The 14,995-nt window shown below is 38.0% G+C and overlaps 1 protein-coding gene across 2 annotated transcripts in view; it reads right to left on the minus strand.

The window, feature by feature from the left end:
* DCP1B (decapping mRNA 1B) overlaps positions 1–14,995 on the minus strand; it is a 62,867-nt gene that overhangs the window by 13,817 nt on the left and 34,055 nt on the right. For both annotated transcript variants that reach the window (NR_135060.2, NM_152640.5), the window contains 3 exons: positions 12,437–12,503; positions 10,151–10,286; positions 25–153 (listed from right to left, as the gene is read on the minus strand). Coding sequence is in view for 1 of the 2 variants with exons in the window: in NM_152640.5 (NP_689853.3) it covers positions 25–153; positions 10,151–10,286; positions 12,437–12,503 (332 nt within the window). In the remaining variant the exon portion in view is untranslated. The remainder of the gene's footprint in view (positions 1–24; positions 154–10,150; positions 10,287–12,436; positions 12,504–14,995) is intronic.

A 14,995-nucleotide genomic window follows, 5' to 3' on the forward strand; every position in this document is an offset into this window, starting at 1 on the left:
TATGACAAGCAGAGAACTCCGTACCTGGTTGGGCTGAGGTATACGCTGTTGCTGGTTTTCACTGGGTTTCACTGGAATTGGTTTGATGAGATTTGGATTGTCATAGATGGCAGAGGAACTGGTTATCTTTTTTGGCTCAGAACAGGTTTTACACTGAAATAGAAAAGAAAATCCCCTCATTTTTGGCTTAGAAAAGCTTTAGTCTTTTTAAAAGACTACCTTTTTACTTCTTATCTAATTGGTAGACGGCTGTGTTTTTGATAGATTTTCATGCACAAAGGAAAATCCCTTAAATTTCTCTAAGAGCTATGTTTGAGTATAAATCAAGTTAAAATTTAATTTTTCTTAGTTGGACAATTCAGTGCTCTAAATATTACTAACAACACCAGCCTCCAGGACCAGGGGTTCTTAAGACACCTGTATAATTGAAAGGTTCTGTGCTTAATATATTGACTATACGTTTAAATATATATAGTCTAATGTCTTTCAATGATAAACAAATATAGAAACCATTCCTTAAATAACATGTCTGGACAATTTAAGCAGTTGACTTAAAATTGGAGAGTAGTTGAGTACATTTCATCAAAGTAACTAAATCTTTTTTGGTCTACAAACCAAAAAGCTGACTCAAACCACTGATTTAAAAATTACTAACATCATCTTTATTTAATAAATGACTTCTTGCATAAACAGAGTAATTCAAATCTGAGCGTTCTGAGCTACTTACTACAAATTAGAATTTTGTAGAGAAAGAGACAAGAGACAAATCTCATCATTTCCAACACTGACTCATTATTATACATTAATCTAACCAACCATGCAATTGCTAACACAGTAGGATTCATAACAAAAAGAGCATGGCAATGATACTGGTGTCTAGTTTGCTAAAACACTAAATAAAACAATATAAAATGCTGCTTTCTGTACTACAGACTCTCTGAAGCATCATTTGTTTCCACTGTACAGCCAAGGCCTCAGGCCCCAAAATATTCCACACCTGACATGAAATGAAATATAAACACAATCTTGTCCCTCAGGAACCCAGCATTCCCAATGTGTTTTACAGTTATCAATGTGTATTCTCTAATCCAACGATCTGGGGGTGTGGCATCTATTACCACTGTATGCACTGTATGTGAGGTTAACCATACAAAAGATTCTCTTCCTCCAGGCATTCTATCAATAATTTGTATATTTAGCACAAGTATTACGTGGGATGCAAAATCACCTTATAAGTCATAAAGTGTTACTTCCAATTCTTCTTAGGTGAATGAGGGTATGGCGGCATGGACCAACTGGCATGGCTTTCCCAAGTCATGGATAACCAAGACAAGACAAGAATACAGGCTAACATTTAATCCCTTACACAATTTTGGCATGAAAAGCCTTGCTATTTAAAAGAACGTGAATGCTTCCTTTCTTTGAATGACGCTTTCTGTATTTCTTCTTTTTCTATGTTCAGAAACACTGAATTTCCGGCAAAGAAAGGCAGATTTTTCCCAGCTTCCCTATGCCCATATCCATATGGGCTAACAGGATGCTTTGTCTGTTGATATGAATAAGCCTGATAGCTTTTCCTAGTTAAAATGTTATCTCCAGAAGCTGTTTTCTGTGTCACTACAACTGCCTACCTACAAAACCTTGCTTTTATGTAACAATTGCTCCCTCTTATCAGAGTGCTCAGAATTAATCATCCACCTCAGTAGTTTGTAGCTCATTTTCCAGTTGTTTAATTTTGTATGCTTTTCCCGACCTAAATATCTTTAAAATCCTGGGGGGAAAAACAGTTTTTGAAAAAGCATATAATGGATTCTTCACAGAGAACCTGAGGCATTTCTTTAAAACTTCAAAAACTTCCTCTGTTGGATGCTGAGGTTAAAATACAATAAAACCTCAAAAAGTATGTCATATAATCCAGTTTTAATCACACACAAACACATACATACATAAACATATGTATTTATGCCAAGAGAGATGTTTGAAACAAAATACAATAAAAGTATAAAAAGTTTCTATCTTCAGTTTATAGGATTATTGGTGATTTTTCTTTTTATATTCTTTTGAATTCTATCATTCAACAAAAAAATTTCTATAATTTCATAAATAACTCACAGCTATATCCAGAAAAGAGCCAATAATTCTTGTCTTAAACCACAAAACACAAATAGTCCACTTCTGAATACTCCAAGCTTAACTATGCAGCCTGTAGATCATTTCTGGTCCTGCCTCTTGTTCTTACTAAAATTTGGTTATTTTACTGTTCACTTGCATCTCAACTAGAAATTGAATAGGGCGGAGATAAAAAGAGATGAAATGCAAATTAACATCTTTTCTACTTTAAAGCAGATTCACAGAAAGTTATTTCTCAAAAGAGAATGCACAAAATTTCAGCCAAAATAAGTTTTCAAATTATTTTATTAACCTCCTGTAAACTAGACAGACTTCACTTTACCCATATCATATATACTGATAGCTCAACATTTTTCCTACTTCCACTTCTTGGGATGTTCACAAATTTAAGAATTCTAGAGAGACTTAAGCGTAAGGCCTGAGACTATAAACCTCCTGGAAGGAAACAGGGGAAAAGCTCCCCAACGTCGCTCTGGGCAGACTTTTTCTATAAACCTCCTGGAAGGAAACAGGGGAAAAGCTCCCCAACGTCGCTCTGGGCAATGGCTTTTTCTATGAACCTCCTGGAAGGAAACAGGGGAAAAGCTCCCTAACGTCGCTCTGGGCAATGACTTTTTCTATAAACCTCCTGGAAGGAAACAGGGGAAAAGCTCCCTAACGTTGCTCTGGGCAATGACTTTTTCTATAAACCTCCTGGAAGGAAACAGGGGAAAAGCTCCCCAACGTTGCTCTGGGTAATGACTTTTTCTATAAACCTACTGGAAGAAGACAGGGGAAAAGCTCCCTAACGTCGCTCTGGGCAATGGCTTCTTCTATAAACCTCCTGGAAGAAGACAGGGGAAAAGCTCCCTAACGTCGCTCTGGGCAATGGCTTTTTCTATAAACCTCCTGGAAGGAAACAGGGGAAAAGCTCCCTAACGTCGCTCTGGGCAATGGCTTTTTCTATAAACCTCCTGGAAGAAGACAGGGGAAAAGCTCCCTAACGTCGCTCTGCGCAATGGCTTTTTCTATAAACCTCCTGGAAGAAGACAGGGGAAAAGCTCCCTAACGTCGCTCTGGGCAATGACTTTTTCTATAAACCTCCTGGAAGGAGACAGGGGAAAAGCTCCCCAACGTCGCTCTGGGCAATGACTTTTTCCATAAACCTCCCGGAAGGAGACAGGGGAAAAGCTCCCCAACGTCGCTCTGGGCAATGACTTTTTCTATAAACCTCCCGGAAGGAAACAGGGGAAAAGCTCCCCAACGTCGCTCTGGGCAATGGCTTTTTCTATAAACCTCCTGGAAGGAAACAGGGGAAAAGCTCCCCAACGTCGCTTTGGGCAATGACTTTTTCTATAAACCTCCTGGAAGGAAACAGGGGAAAAGCTCCCCAACGTCGCTCTGGGCAATGACTTTTTCTATAAACCTCCTGGAAGGAAACAGGGGAAAAGCTCCCCAACGTCGCTCTGGGCAATGACTTTTTCTATAAACCTCCTGGAAGGAAACAGGGGGAAAGCTCCCCAACGTTGCTCTGGGCAATGACTTTTTCTATAAACCTCCTGGAAGGAAACAGGGGGAAAGCTCCCCAACGTCGCTCTGGGCAATGACTTTTTCTATAAACCTCCTGGAAGGAAACAGGGGAAAAGCTCCCTAACGTTGCTCTGGGCAATGGCTTTTTCGATGTGACCCTAAGGACAGGCAACAAAAGCAAGAGACACACAGGATTACATCCAACCCAAGGCTGTTGCATAGCAAAGGAAACAGCAGAGTGAAGAGATGACCTATGGAGTGGAGGAAGATACCTGCACAACATACATACGATAAGAGATTCATGTCCAAAGTAGATAAGGAACTCAAACAACTCAACAGTAAGAAAAGAAAACAAATGTTCTGATCAAAATATAGACAAAGGGCCTGAGTGGACATTTTTCAAAAGAAGACATACATGTGGCCAATAGGTATGTGAAAAATGCTCGACATCGCTAATCATCAGGGAAATGCAAATTAAAACCACAGTGAAATATCACCTCAAACCTGGTAGAATGTCTACCATCAAAAAGGCAAAACATAAGTGGTGGCAAGGATGTACAGAAAAGGAAATCCTTGTATACTGTTGGTGGGAATATTAGTTAGCATAGCTATTATGGAAAATAGCATGTTGGGCCAGGTGCAGTGGCTCACGCCTGTAATCCCAGCACTTTGTGAGGCTGAGGCGGGCGGATCACGAGGTCAGCAGATCGAGACCATCCTGGCTAACACGGTGAAACCCCGTCTCTACTAAAAATACAAAAAAATTATCCGGGCATGGTGGAGGGCGCCTGTAGTCCCAGCTACTTGGGAGGCTGAGGTAGGAGAATGGCGTGAACCCAGGAGGTAGAGCTTGCCATGAGCCAAGATTGCTCCACTGCACTCCAGCTTGGGTGACAGAGCAAGACTCCGTCTCAAAAAAAAAAAAAAAAATTTATGTTGGCTCCTCAAAAAATTAGAAATAGAACTACCACATGATCGAAGAATCCCATTTCTGGGTATATATCCAGGGAAAATGAAATCAGTATGTTGAAGAGATAGCTGCATTCCTGTGTTCACCACAACATTACAATAGCCAATATATGGAATAAACCTAAGTGTTCATCAATGAATGAATGGATAAAGAAAATGTGGTGTATAAACACAATGGAATACTATTCAGCCTCAAAAAAGAAGGAAATTCTGTCATTTGCAACAACATGGATGAACCTGGAGGACATTACATTAGGTGAAATAAACCAGGCACAGAAAGGCAAGTACTGCATGATTTCACTCCTACATGAAATCCAGAGAAGCTGAACCCACTGAAGCACAGTAGGCTGGTAGTTGCCGGAGGCTGGGGGTAGGAGGATTTTGGAGATGTTGGTCAAAGGATACAAACTTTCAATTAGACAGGAGGAATAAGTTCAGGAGATTTATTGTACATCATGATGACTACAGTTAGTACTAATATATTGTATACTGAAAGTTGCTAAAAGAGTAGATTTTAATTATTTTTGCCACACAAAAATGATAAATATGTGAGGTAATACATGTGTTAATTAGCTTGATTTAGGCACCCTATAATATACATGCATATCAAAATATCATGTTGTATACCATACATAAATATATACAATTTTAATTTTTCATTGAAAATAATTTTAAAAAGAAAACTTCAATAAAAGTAAGTCTAGCACTGAAAACCATCTCAGAAGTCTTTTAGTTTAATACTTATCCAACACAAGCCAAATTCTTTTATCACATCACCAATATGTAACTGTTCAATCTCTTCTTGAACACTTTAAGTAACGGAGACTCACTTCCCAACAAGAACTCTGAAGGAACATTCTGTTTTCCTTCTCTCTCGCTACCTTTCCATTTCACCCCCTTTCTTCTGTCTCAGAACCACTTTACTCAGGGTCTCCACATTTTCTGAAATATCTGTGTGTGAGTGCAGAGACAACACAATGTAAGAAGGCGATGGAATGCTCTTTCCAAACATAAGGCACTGGCAGCTAGCAGGGTGCATGCACACCTAGTTAGGCCGGCCAAAAATAAGGTGATGGAAAAAGAACATCTGAAACAGGCCCTGAAAGCTGGATCATATTTTGATGGGTGAAGAAGGGGTGGGAACAGTATGAGAAAAGTCATGAAAGCACTCTCAGGAAGCAAAATGAGTATTCTGTTTGGCAGGAGTTTCAAATATTTGTAGAGGGTAGTAGGGTTAGAAGAACAAACTGAGGCCGTCTTAGGGAAGGCTTGAAGACTCCAAGGGTTCCTGTACTGGGCAATGACAAACCAAGAAAAACGGAGACTAGGAAAGTAGCGTGATCATGCAGGTGTCCTGGCACACTGTATCACAACATCTGGCTGTTAATGGAAGAAGAAATAATTTCCTCTATTATTTATCTCACAGTTGGAGCAACTGACATTACGCATAAAACAACATGTATTTGATTTTTACAGAAAAGCACCTTCTATACACGAATTAAGTGTCTGCACTTCATGTCAACATTATAACAAATCTGTGAGGGCATAAAGATGAACAGAACATTGTTTTAACTTCAACCAGTTTACAGTGTACTGGGAGAAGTTGACTTAATGTAATAAATGAGGAAGAACAAAATAAGTTTTAAATAGTAATAGACTGAGTTCACATGGAAGAATAATTAATTTGACTGAAGAGACCTGGGAAAACTCCACGTAAAAAGTGTCATTTTTACTAAGCCTTAAAGGATATGTAAATTCTGAAGGGTAAATAAAGTAAGGGGAAAAATATTCCAAGACATAGGCACAGTATAAAGTGATGGCCTAAATTAAATCTCCAGAACCGTATATGAGTGTTTCTGAGAGAGACAGAGAATGTGTGTGCTTGTGCTGTTCTTTTATGTGATGGTCACTCAAGTGAGGCCAGAGAGGAGACACAGGAGAGTCTCAGGAAAACAAAGTTTATTATACTCACAGGTCCTGGAGACAAGAGGCATGCCACGCTGCACAGGGCCACGTGTGGAAGCCTCAGGGTGTCAGCAGCAAGGGGAAGGCGTAGGCTAGAGCATTTACTGAATTTCCTCAAGGAAGGCAAGGCAGGGCATGGTAAACAGGTTAAGATTGGCCAGTTTGAATAACTCCAGCAGGCTCTAAACTGTATGAGTGGTCCCCAGTTGCTGGGTACCTGGCCCTGGGATGATTAAGGCAGAGGAATATTGTACAGGCCAGAGACGAGGAGATACGTATGGCTCAGGATTGGTTAGTGTGCATATTAAAGGCGTGCTCCTGGCCAAGCCCTTTGCTATCTCTGAACACTGGCTGGTCACAGGAGGGGCAGTCTCCCCAGCCAGAAAGGATTTTAAGATGTCAAAACATTATAACATATAGAAGATAAAAAACAGAAACAATACAAGGTATGTGTGTGTTGAGAGGAGGGAGGGAAAGAAAGGAAAATAATTTTTTTCAATATTTGTATTTATTTACCATTGTTACACTGTCTTCACAGAACATTAAGTTCCTGGAGGGCAGAAATGTCACCTTTTGAAGATTAATCTTTAGTGTGCATAATATAGTATAATTAATAAAGTATAACTAATTATTCAACTAGTTGCCAAGTCATCATAATTTTTTTTAATGACTTTTGAAGAATTAAAAAAACACAAAATGAATACAGAATAGTTACTGTCTGAAGCTGAGATTAAGGCATCTCTGTCCAGGCCATACAATAGAAGGATAATTAAACTGTGGCTCATTCACATTCATATTCCTTCCTTCACTCAATAGCCATTATTTAACACTCACCATGTGCTAAGTACTTTGAAGACAATAAGGGATATAAAAGTGAATAAAGGATGTTCTTCGTACTCAAGAAGCTCACAGTCAAGGCAAAGCATGTTAAAGAAACTTGTCTAACTGCCTATATGTGCCACTTCATTCAGGATTTTTCTGATTGCTTCCTCATAGCATCATTTAATTTGTTTTTCTACCTTGTCTCCCCTCACTCCCCACCCACTTTCACTTTCTGTAAACTAAAAAGTTAGAGCTCAAGGCTTAATGAGATTCAGGATCAACTCTTTGGGCAAGAATATTTCAAGATGGTGCTGTACATTTGACATCTTATCACATTAGGAAGCCAGAGAATCTGGTTATCTAACTTTTAATGATGATAATCAGCGGGGTTCAGGAGGAGGCAGCCTGATCCTTCCACTGTCAAGTTTCTATCAACCTTTCCCATAACATTAATATTACTGATGATCACTGCCTGAGTCAATTATTTTAAGCAGAGTGTCTTTAAGTTCTATTATTCTCTCCACACGTACTAGCTGGAATTCTCTGGTAGAGAACAGCTCTCCCTCATTGACCAGGGCTGTTTGATTACTCTGAGATATAGTCCCTTTAGGGCAGGCAGGATAAAAGCTTATTTCATTCCCATTAATTATCAATTTTCAGAGGAAGGAGTTGGTGCCTTAGCACCTTCAAACGGATAACTAATAATTATTTTGCTTGGTTTTATATGTTTGGTTTGCTTGTTCTCTTTCTCATTACCAGGAACTCATAGATTTTTATACATTCAATGTGGTTTAATCCATTGTAGTCACTCCTGTTGATGTTAGAATGTGGTGCTCTGGTCAGTGTCCTTGAAGCTGATTTCTGTGTCCTTTCACATGACCCTATTGGTTTTACTATTCCAGACCTGGAATCAGAAATTTCTTTGAAGAGCCCTGACACCTTCTGGAAGGAAGTAATATTTCGAAACAACAATCTGGGTGATATAGATGCTTACTGCTACTGAGTTAGTCACTTTTATTTTTATGTCCTTTCAGGGCAAGAGTGAGAAACTCTATTTTTTGTTTTTATACCTAAGAAACAAAACATGAACTAATTCTGATATTTCCACTTAATCTTATGTAGTTTTAACTTATTAGATTTGATTTTTTTCCCCTTACACTAAGGTTTTGGTTCCAACCACGTTTATCTAATTTCATATTTATTATATCCACAACAGTAGAAAAATTACAATGCCAACAGTAGAAAAATTAAAATGCCAACATTACTACAAACAATAAAACCAATGAATGAAGTTTATAATGTCTTGCAGTTCTTTTTGTCCTTAAAATATAACCCACTAAGAGTGTTCAGTTCAAGCAGCGGGCTTTGAAGTCACTCTAATTTTTTTTCTAAGTAATTATGTGACAATATGATATTCAATTACATACATTTATTTCAGCTAGTTTCCAAATTCTATAATTTTTAAAAATTTTTATTTTTTGCCCATTTTTCTAGTGTTAATCTTGTACTTCTTAATTTTTAGGAGCTCTTCATAAAATAACCTTCCTGTCATTCTGGTGTCAACAATTTTTTTCTGAGTTGTTTTTGTATCTTTCTATTTGCTTGTGTTGTATTTAAACCTTGTAAAATGTTTTTTATTTTTATGTAGTTTAATTAATTGCTTTTGGGTTTTTAGGCATAATTGAAAGATTTCTCTTTTCCTAGATTATAAAGAAATCCATACAAATTTTCTTCTGGTACTTGAATCATTATATTTTTACATTTAAATTTCTAATACATTTGGAATTTATCCTGGTGTATGCTGTAAGGTACAGACTCAGTTTTGTATTTTTCCAAATGGCTACCAGTTGCCCCAACACCATTTATTTAGGAATTCACTCAAATAGCTGACTTGAGATTATCATCTTTATCATATCCTAGATTTCATATACAATTGGATTTAATCCTAGACTTAGAATCTTAAATCTGTCCCATTGGTCTATTGGGCTGTTAGGTATCAATACCATCAACACCATACTGTTTGAAATGTTGACTTCAATGTTTTAAAATCAGGGAGAGCTCGCTCCATCCCCCCACTCATCTCCCCCACCTCCAACCCCTACTAATATCACACTTCTTTGCCAGGATTTTCCCAGCTATTCTTTCTTGCATATTTCTTTCCATGAGCCTTACACTCAACTTGTCTAGATCAGAGAGTAAGGGAGAAGTGGGGAGGGGAGGGGAAAAGAAACCAGTGGTATTTATTTAGTGGTCACCTTAAATGTAGAGATTTTTTTTCTAAGAGCTTTATGTTGAATCTTCTTATCCAACAACAGGGTGTATATTTCCATTTGTTTGAGTCTATTTTTATGCCTTTCAGGAGTTTTTAAACATTTTCTTTATATAGGTTTTGCCCATTTCTCGTGAATTTTATTGCAAACAATTTTATATTCATTTGTTGCTACTGTAAGTTGGGGTCTTGCAGTAAGTCTAACAAGACTTACTACCAGTTGTGTATATGAAGGTTATTGTATACATGAAGGCTATTGTATATATGAAGGCTACTGATTTCTCAGGCTATTTTTTAACCCACTTAAAGGCAAACAGTTTTCTTCAGCTTATAAAAAATCTATATTACAAATAAAGATTTTTTATTTGTAATATAATTTTGTTTGGTGGAAGGAACAGCATCCACAGTACCTAGTCTTGCTAAACAAGAATATTCCCACTGCGGAACTGAAGTGTGTATGTATCACAAGGAAGGGCAAACACTCACCTTTGTGTATTCGTCTTTGGCCTTGATGAGCATTCGTAAAATGTCTACTTCTTTGCCCTCTCCTGAATTGAGGATCACTGGGGAAATTCCTGCTCCAGTTCCCTGATGGGCTTTCAACTGTTCATACTGAGTTAGGCTAGAAAAACAGAGGGGAAAATCCACACAAGAAAAGCCAATTCAACACAAACAATGTTTAAAACCATCCCAATTCTCACCTAGTTGTTTTCATCCTGTTACAACCATATTAGAAATAAGCTTGCTTAGGAATTTAAAGGAGAAAAATGAGAGTTGAGGTCCTGAATTCACTGACTACACAAATGAATCTAGGATAGGGGTCAGCAAATCTGTGGGCCAAGTCCAGCCCACCACCTGTTTTTTGTAAAGAAAGTCACAAACACAGCCAAGCTCAACACAGCCATGCTCCTTTGTTTACATGTTGTTTATGGCTGCTTTCACATTACAAGGGCAGAATTCTATAGTCGGAACACAAATCCTATGGACTGCAAAGCCTAAAATACTCACTCTCTGGTCCCTTTGAGAAGAGTTTGCCAACTCCTCACACAGTGCATTCTAAAGGATGCTCTCATTAGTTGCTAAGGAAACCCAATTTAGAGTTCTGAAATACTGAGGAAAGAACCCCCTACTTTACAGACTGCCTTGAAGTCAAGGCAAGGTTGATTCTGGCAACTCAAATCCTGCAGCTCTCTGGCAGTTTCAAAACATGGTAAAGATTCCATTCTAACTCGGAGAAGAGGGGCCATTTAAAAAACCACTTAGAGCAACGAGGAGTTCTTCTGTTGCCTGGAAAACAATACAAAGATAGACCAGATTGCTCCTATATGCTGCTAGGTGATGTCGAGGAAAATATACTTTCCCTTTATGTGCTGTAACTTTCAGCTCACATTCTTATTATTGCCATGAAGTTTACGGTAACAAAGATCTGAGTACTTACTGAGAGACTTAATTCTAACTGGGGAGGGGGTCGGAATCCACACAATCAGCTGCTTATTGCTAGTAAATAATCAATTTCCTGCCCGAGCTGTTAGGTAATTACTGCAGAATGCTGACAATTATAACATGGCCTCTTGGCTGAGCTACAGGGTATTTTTTAATCTGTATGAAATCCTGTTATTATTATCCACTGCACAATTTACAGTAACATGAATGTTCTAGGAACTAGTTGTTATGGTGGTAAATACCAGTTTGAATACACTTAATCACCATCTGCACCTTGAGCTAGTTACCTAAAATTAGCTACCTCTAGCTAGACTTTCAGGAATCTATCTCATCTCTTAAAAGGTGCTCCCTGTTTTTCATTTCCGTGAGGTCACTTTCTAGTCATTTCATTGCCCCAGGATTTAAAAGTGGGGACTGATTCTTTTGCACACAGAGCTACAGTGTCATACCCATGTGGCAGCAGCCATCCTATGTGCTTGGCTGAGTCCAGTCCCAGGCTGTGACACAGCACGTGCAGGAAACTCATCTCACTCTGAGACTCTTCCCATCCCCATAAATGGCAGGGAAATAACTGCCTCACAGTGAGCAGCCCTGGGCTCAAAAATTGATCAGTCAACCAACTGCAGAGCAGAGAACAAGCCCTCCTCTTTCAACGCAATCAGGGAAGCCAAGAGTGGGAAAGTCAGACAGCAATTTTAAAGTTGCCCAAAATGCAGAATGGGACAAATCACAAGGTATCATAAGATTAAAAGAAAGAGACCAGTAACAAGGAAGAGAGAGACAGTCGACTGATCACTAAGCTAATAGTAACTCAGCAATTTCTAAGGAGACAGAAAATAAAGACTACCTTAACTCAGTGTCTGAGACATGGGAGGAAATTCTGAGCTCCCACAAACATGTATACACAGTTAAAGGAAAGCATCTGGGGGATGAAGGAAATGAAAGATTTTACAGAATCGGGAGCAGACTTTTAGGATGGCTCTGAATGTTCTTTTTACCAACAGGCATATTGATAACTTTTCAAAGCAAAAAATTGCTAATTTACATATGAAAATATTAAAGAAAACTGCCATCTGGAACAATTCATATATATTTCACACACAGGAAAAAATGAATCATTCTAGATGATAAATATTATGCAGTGAAACTGCGGCAAGTTGTTCTTACGTCTAATTTTCATTTATTAATTAATACTAAATGTCTGCCTAACCAGTGAAAAGGACTGCTATGGGAGATATATTCTGTTAAGACTGTAGTATAGTTACACACACTTAGAAATACAAACAAAAGCACCAGGTCCTGAAAAATATTTAGCCTTTTAGTACTTACTTTTTCATAAGCTCTGCAATTCTTTGGCATTCTTCCTTATCATAAAACCAAATTCCATAGATGGACACTGCAAAAAACACACATCAAACAAATTATGAGCATCTTCAAAACTACAAAATAGAAAAAAATCTCCTTTCCATCTTAAATACATAATAATCTATGTGTTAAATTGATTTATTCAATAATTATTGAATAAATAAAAGCAATCATTGGGGTTAAAGCTTAAAAATACAGCATCAAGCCAGGCACAGTGGCTCACACTTGTAATCCCAGTACTTTGGGATCACTTGAGGTCAAGTGTTCAAGACCAGCCTGGCCAACATGGTGAAACCCCATCTCTACTAAAAATACAAAAAAAATTAGCCAGGCCTGGTGGCGGGCGTCCATAATCCCAGCTACTCGGGATGCAGAGGCAGGAGAATCGCTTGAACCTGGGAGGTGGAGGTTGCTGTGAGCCAGGATCGCGCCATTGGACGCCAGCCTGGATGAAAAGAGGGAAACTCTGTCTCAAAAAAAAAAAAAAAAGCATCAAAATTTAAGTCCACAGAGAAATCCGTGGTGGTTTTGTGCAAAGACGCGCACCCACACACATTGAAGAAACTGTGCTCCGCGTGAAAACATGGCACCTGAACACAACAGGCACTCGGCAAAATCCTCTGAAGCAAATGAATACAGACGGAAAATGAAATCACAATTTCTATACTTCCTGGCTGCGAGATAGCATTGTTTCTACACTCCATTTGCACATTTCATAAACACATTTCATGTTTATTTTTAAATATTCAGAAACCTGATACTCAAATTATGCCTAGAAGCCTCCCTCCCCTTCTCCTTCTCTCAGGAACATGTTAACTGAGAAAGTGGCTTTGTAAGCTGTAAGTTAGGGAGAGGCCACTGGAAAAAATAAAATTTAATAATAAACTTCTGGCTTCAAAATGGTACAGAAAATGTATAACTGCTGAAAGATTAGATATGACTATGATTTCCTCATTTAGTAATGAAAGAAACTGTGACATAATATACCTGCTATTGATTCATTCAATAATGTTCAAATAAGTTGTATACTTTAGTATGTGCCTATCTATATCATTTTTATAGCAAAGGCTGAAGCAGCTCCAGAAGACATTTATAAATATCTAGTTGAGGATCTGATGGCATTAATCATCTAAGTAATGCATTAACTACACACACATTTAAAACATCTTCACTGAAAACAGCAGCAATATTACGATAGGGCAATGAAAACCAACAAAACATGTTTTTACAAGGGAAAAAAGACTTTAAATTCAAACTTTCTAAACACGTAATTATATTAATAGTATTTTGCTGTTAAAACAGCTATGATATTCTAACTACATCTTTTTTCCCCTCTTACCTGACCAATGTCTGGGCATGGAATTTCTGCTTCTTGTCAGTAATGATTCATATATCAAAAGGTACAAGAAATGTCTTTATAGTGCTATTTTAAGCAGGTATCTTAAAGAGGAACCTATGAATCTGAATTACTCACTTGCCAAAAGGTGGCAATAGGGCTTTAAACTTTGGTTTTGCAATTATCAGTGTACCAGAAATCTTTTATCTTACCTACCTGCACGTGAAGTGGGGGGGAAGTAGGGGAAAAAATCCCAGCTTTTCCTTGAACAGGACCATTTTACTCTCTTAGATGGAAATACATACACATTTTCCTCCTTGGTACACTGACTTTTTTTTTTTTTTTTTTTTAAGAACGTCTGAGTTCTGAAGCCCATGTGCTATGAGAGCTTTTACATCAAAACAAAATTCTTTCATCTCAAGATCATTGAATGTGTATCTTGAAACTTCATATTCAAGGTTGCTTCCAGTCCATCAACAATAATTCCCTACTCTAATTCCCTACACAGATTCCTACACTAACCTGCATACCCTCACGTTCTTGAAGTCAAAGCAGATTGGATCACTGACGTTCAACCACTTAATAAATCTGAGTATGTTTGCGTGTCTTGGTGACTTTAACCTTAGTTACAAAACTAGGAGCCTGGCCTATTTTTTTGGTTATAGTGTAAGTTTTCTTTCCTTGAAGACTGACTTTTCCAAAACTATCAAAGGAGAAAGATGGCAGTAAGGGAGAAAAACAGAGCATAACTCAGAAACACGAGGCCCAATGGCAGAGGAAAAAATGGCCGTTGTTGTCTCATGAATAGGCTCTATTAATAAGAATATTCTGGGTATCTTTCGTTTGATGTTATACATTTGCGGCATTTGACATAAGGAATTAGGCTTTCGTAAGGGTGGGATGCCAAGAAAACTGTTGATACAAATAGAAAAGCAGTTTGACAGTGTCATCACCATGAGATAACTGAAATGCAGATTTAGGGAGCGAAAATGCTACGGAACATCTTTCAAATGTCAAAGCAAAATGAAGGAAAGATTGAGTTTGCAGTAATTATTTAAGACATCGTGAAGACTTCTTTAGGACCCAACCATTTATCTCCAAAGCAACATGGCTTTAAAAATTAAAATGAGATCATTTTGAGATAACTCTTTTGATCCCAGTTTAGTCTGGACAGAAAATTTAAATAG

The sequence above is a fragment of the Homo sapiens genome, chromosome 12 (genome assembly GCF_000001405.40).
Source record: "Homo sapiens chromosome 12, GRCh38.p14 Primary Assembly".
NCBI classification, from domain to species: Eukaryota; Metazoa; Chordata; class Mammalia; order Primates; family Hominidae; genus Homo; species Homo sapiens.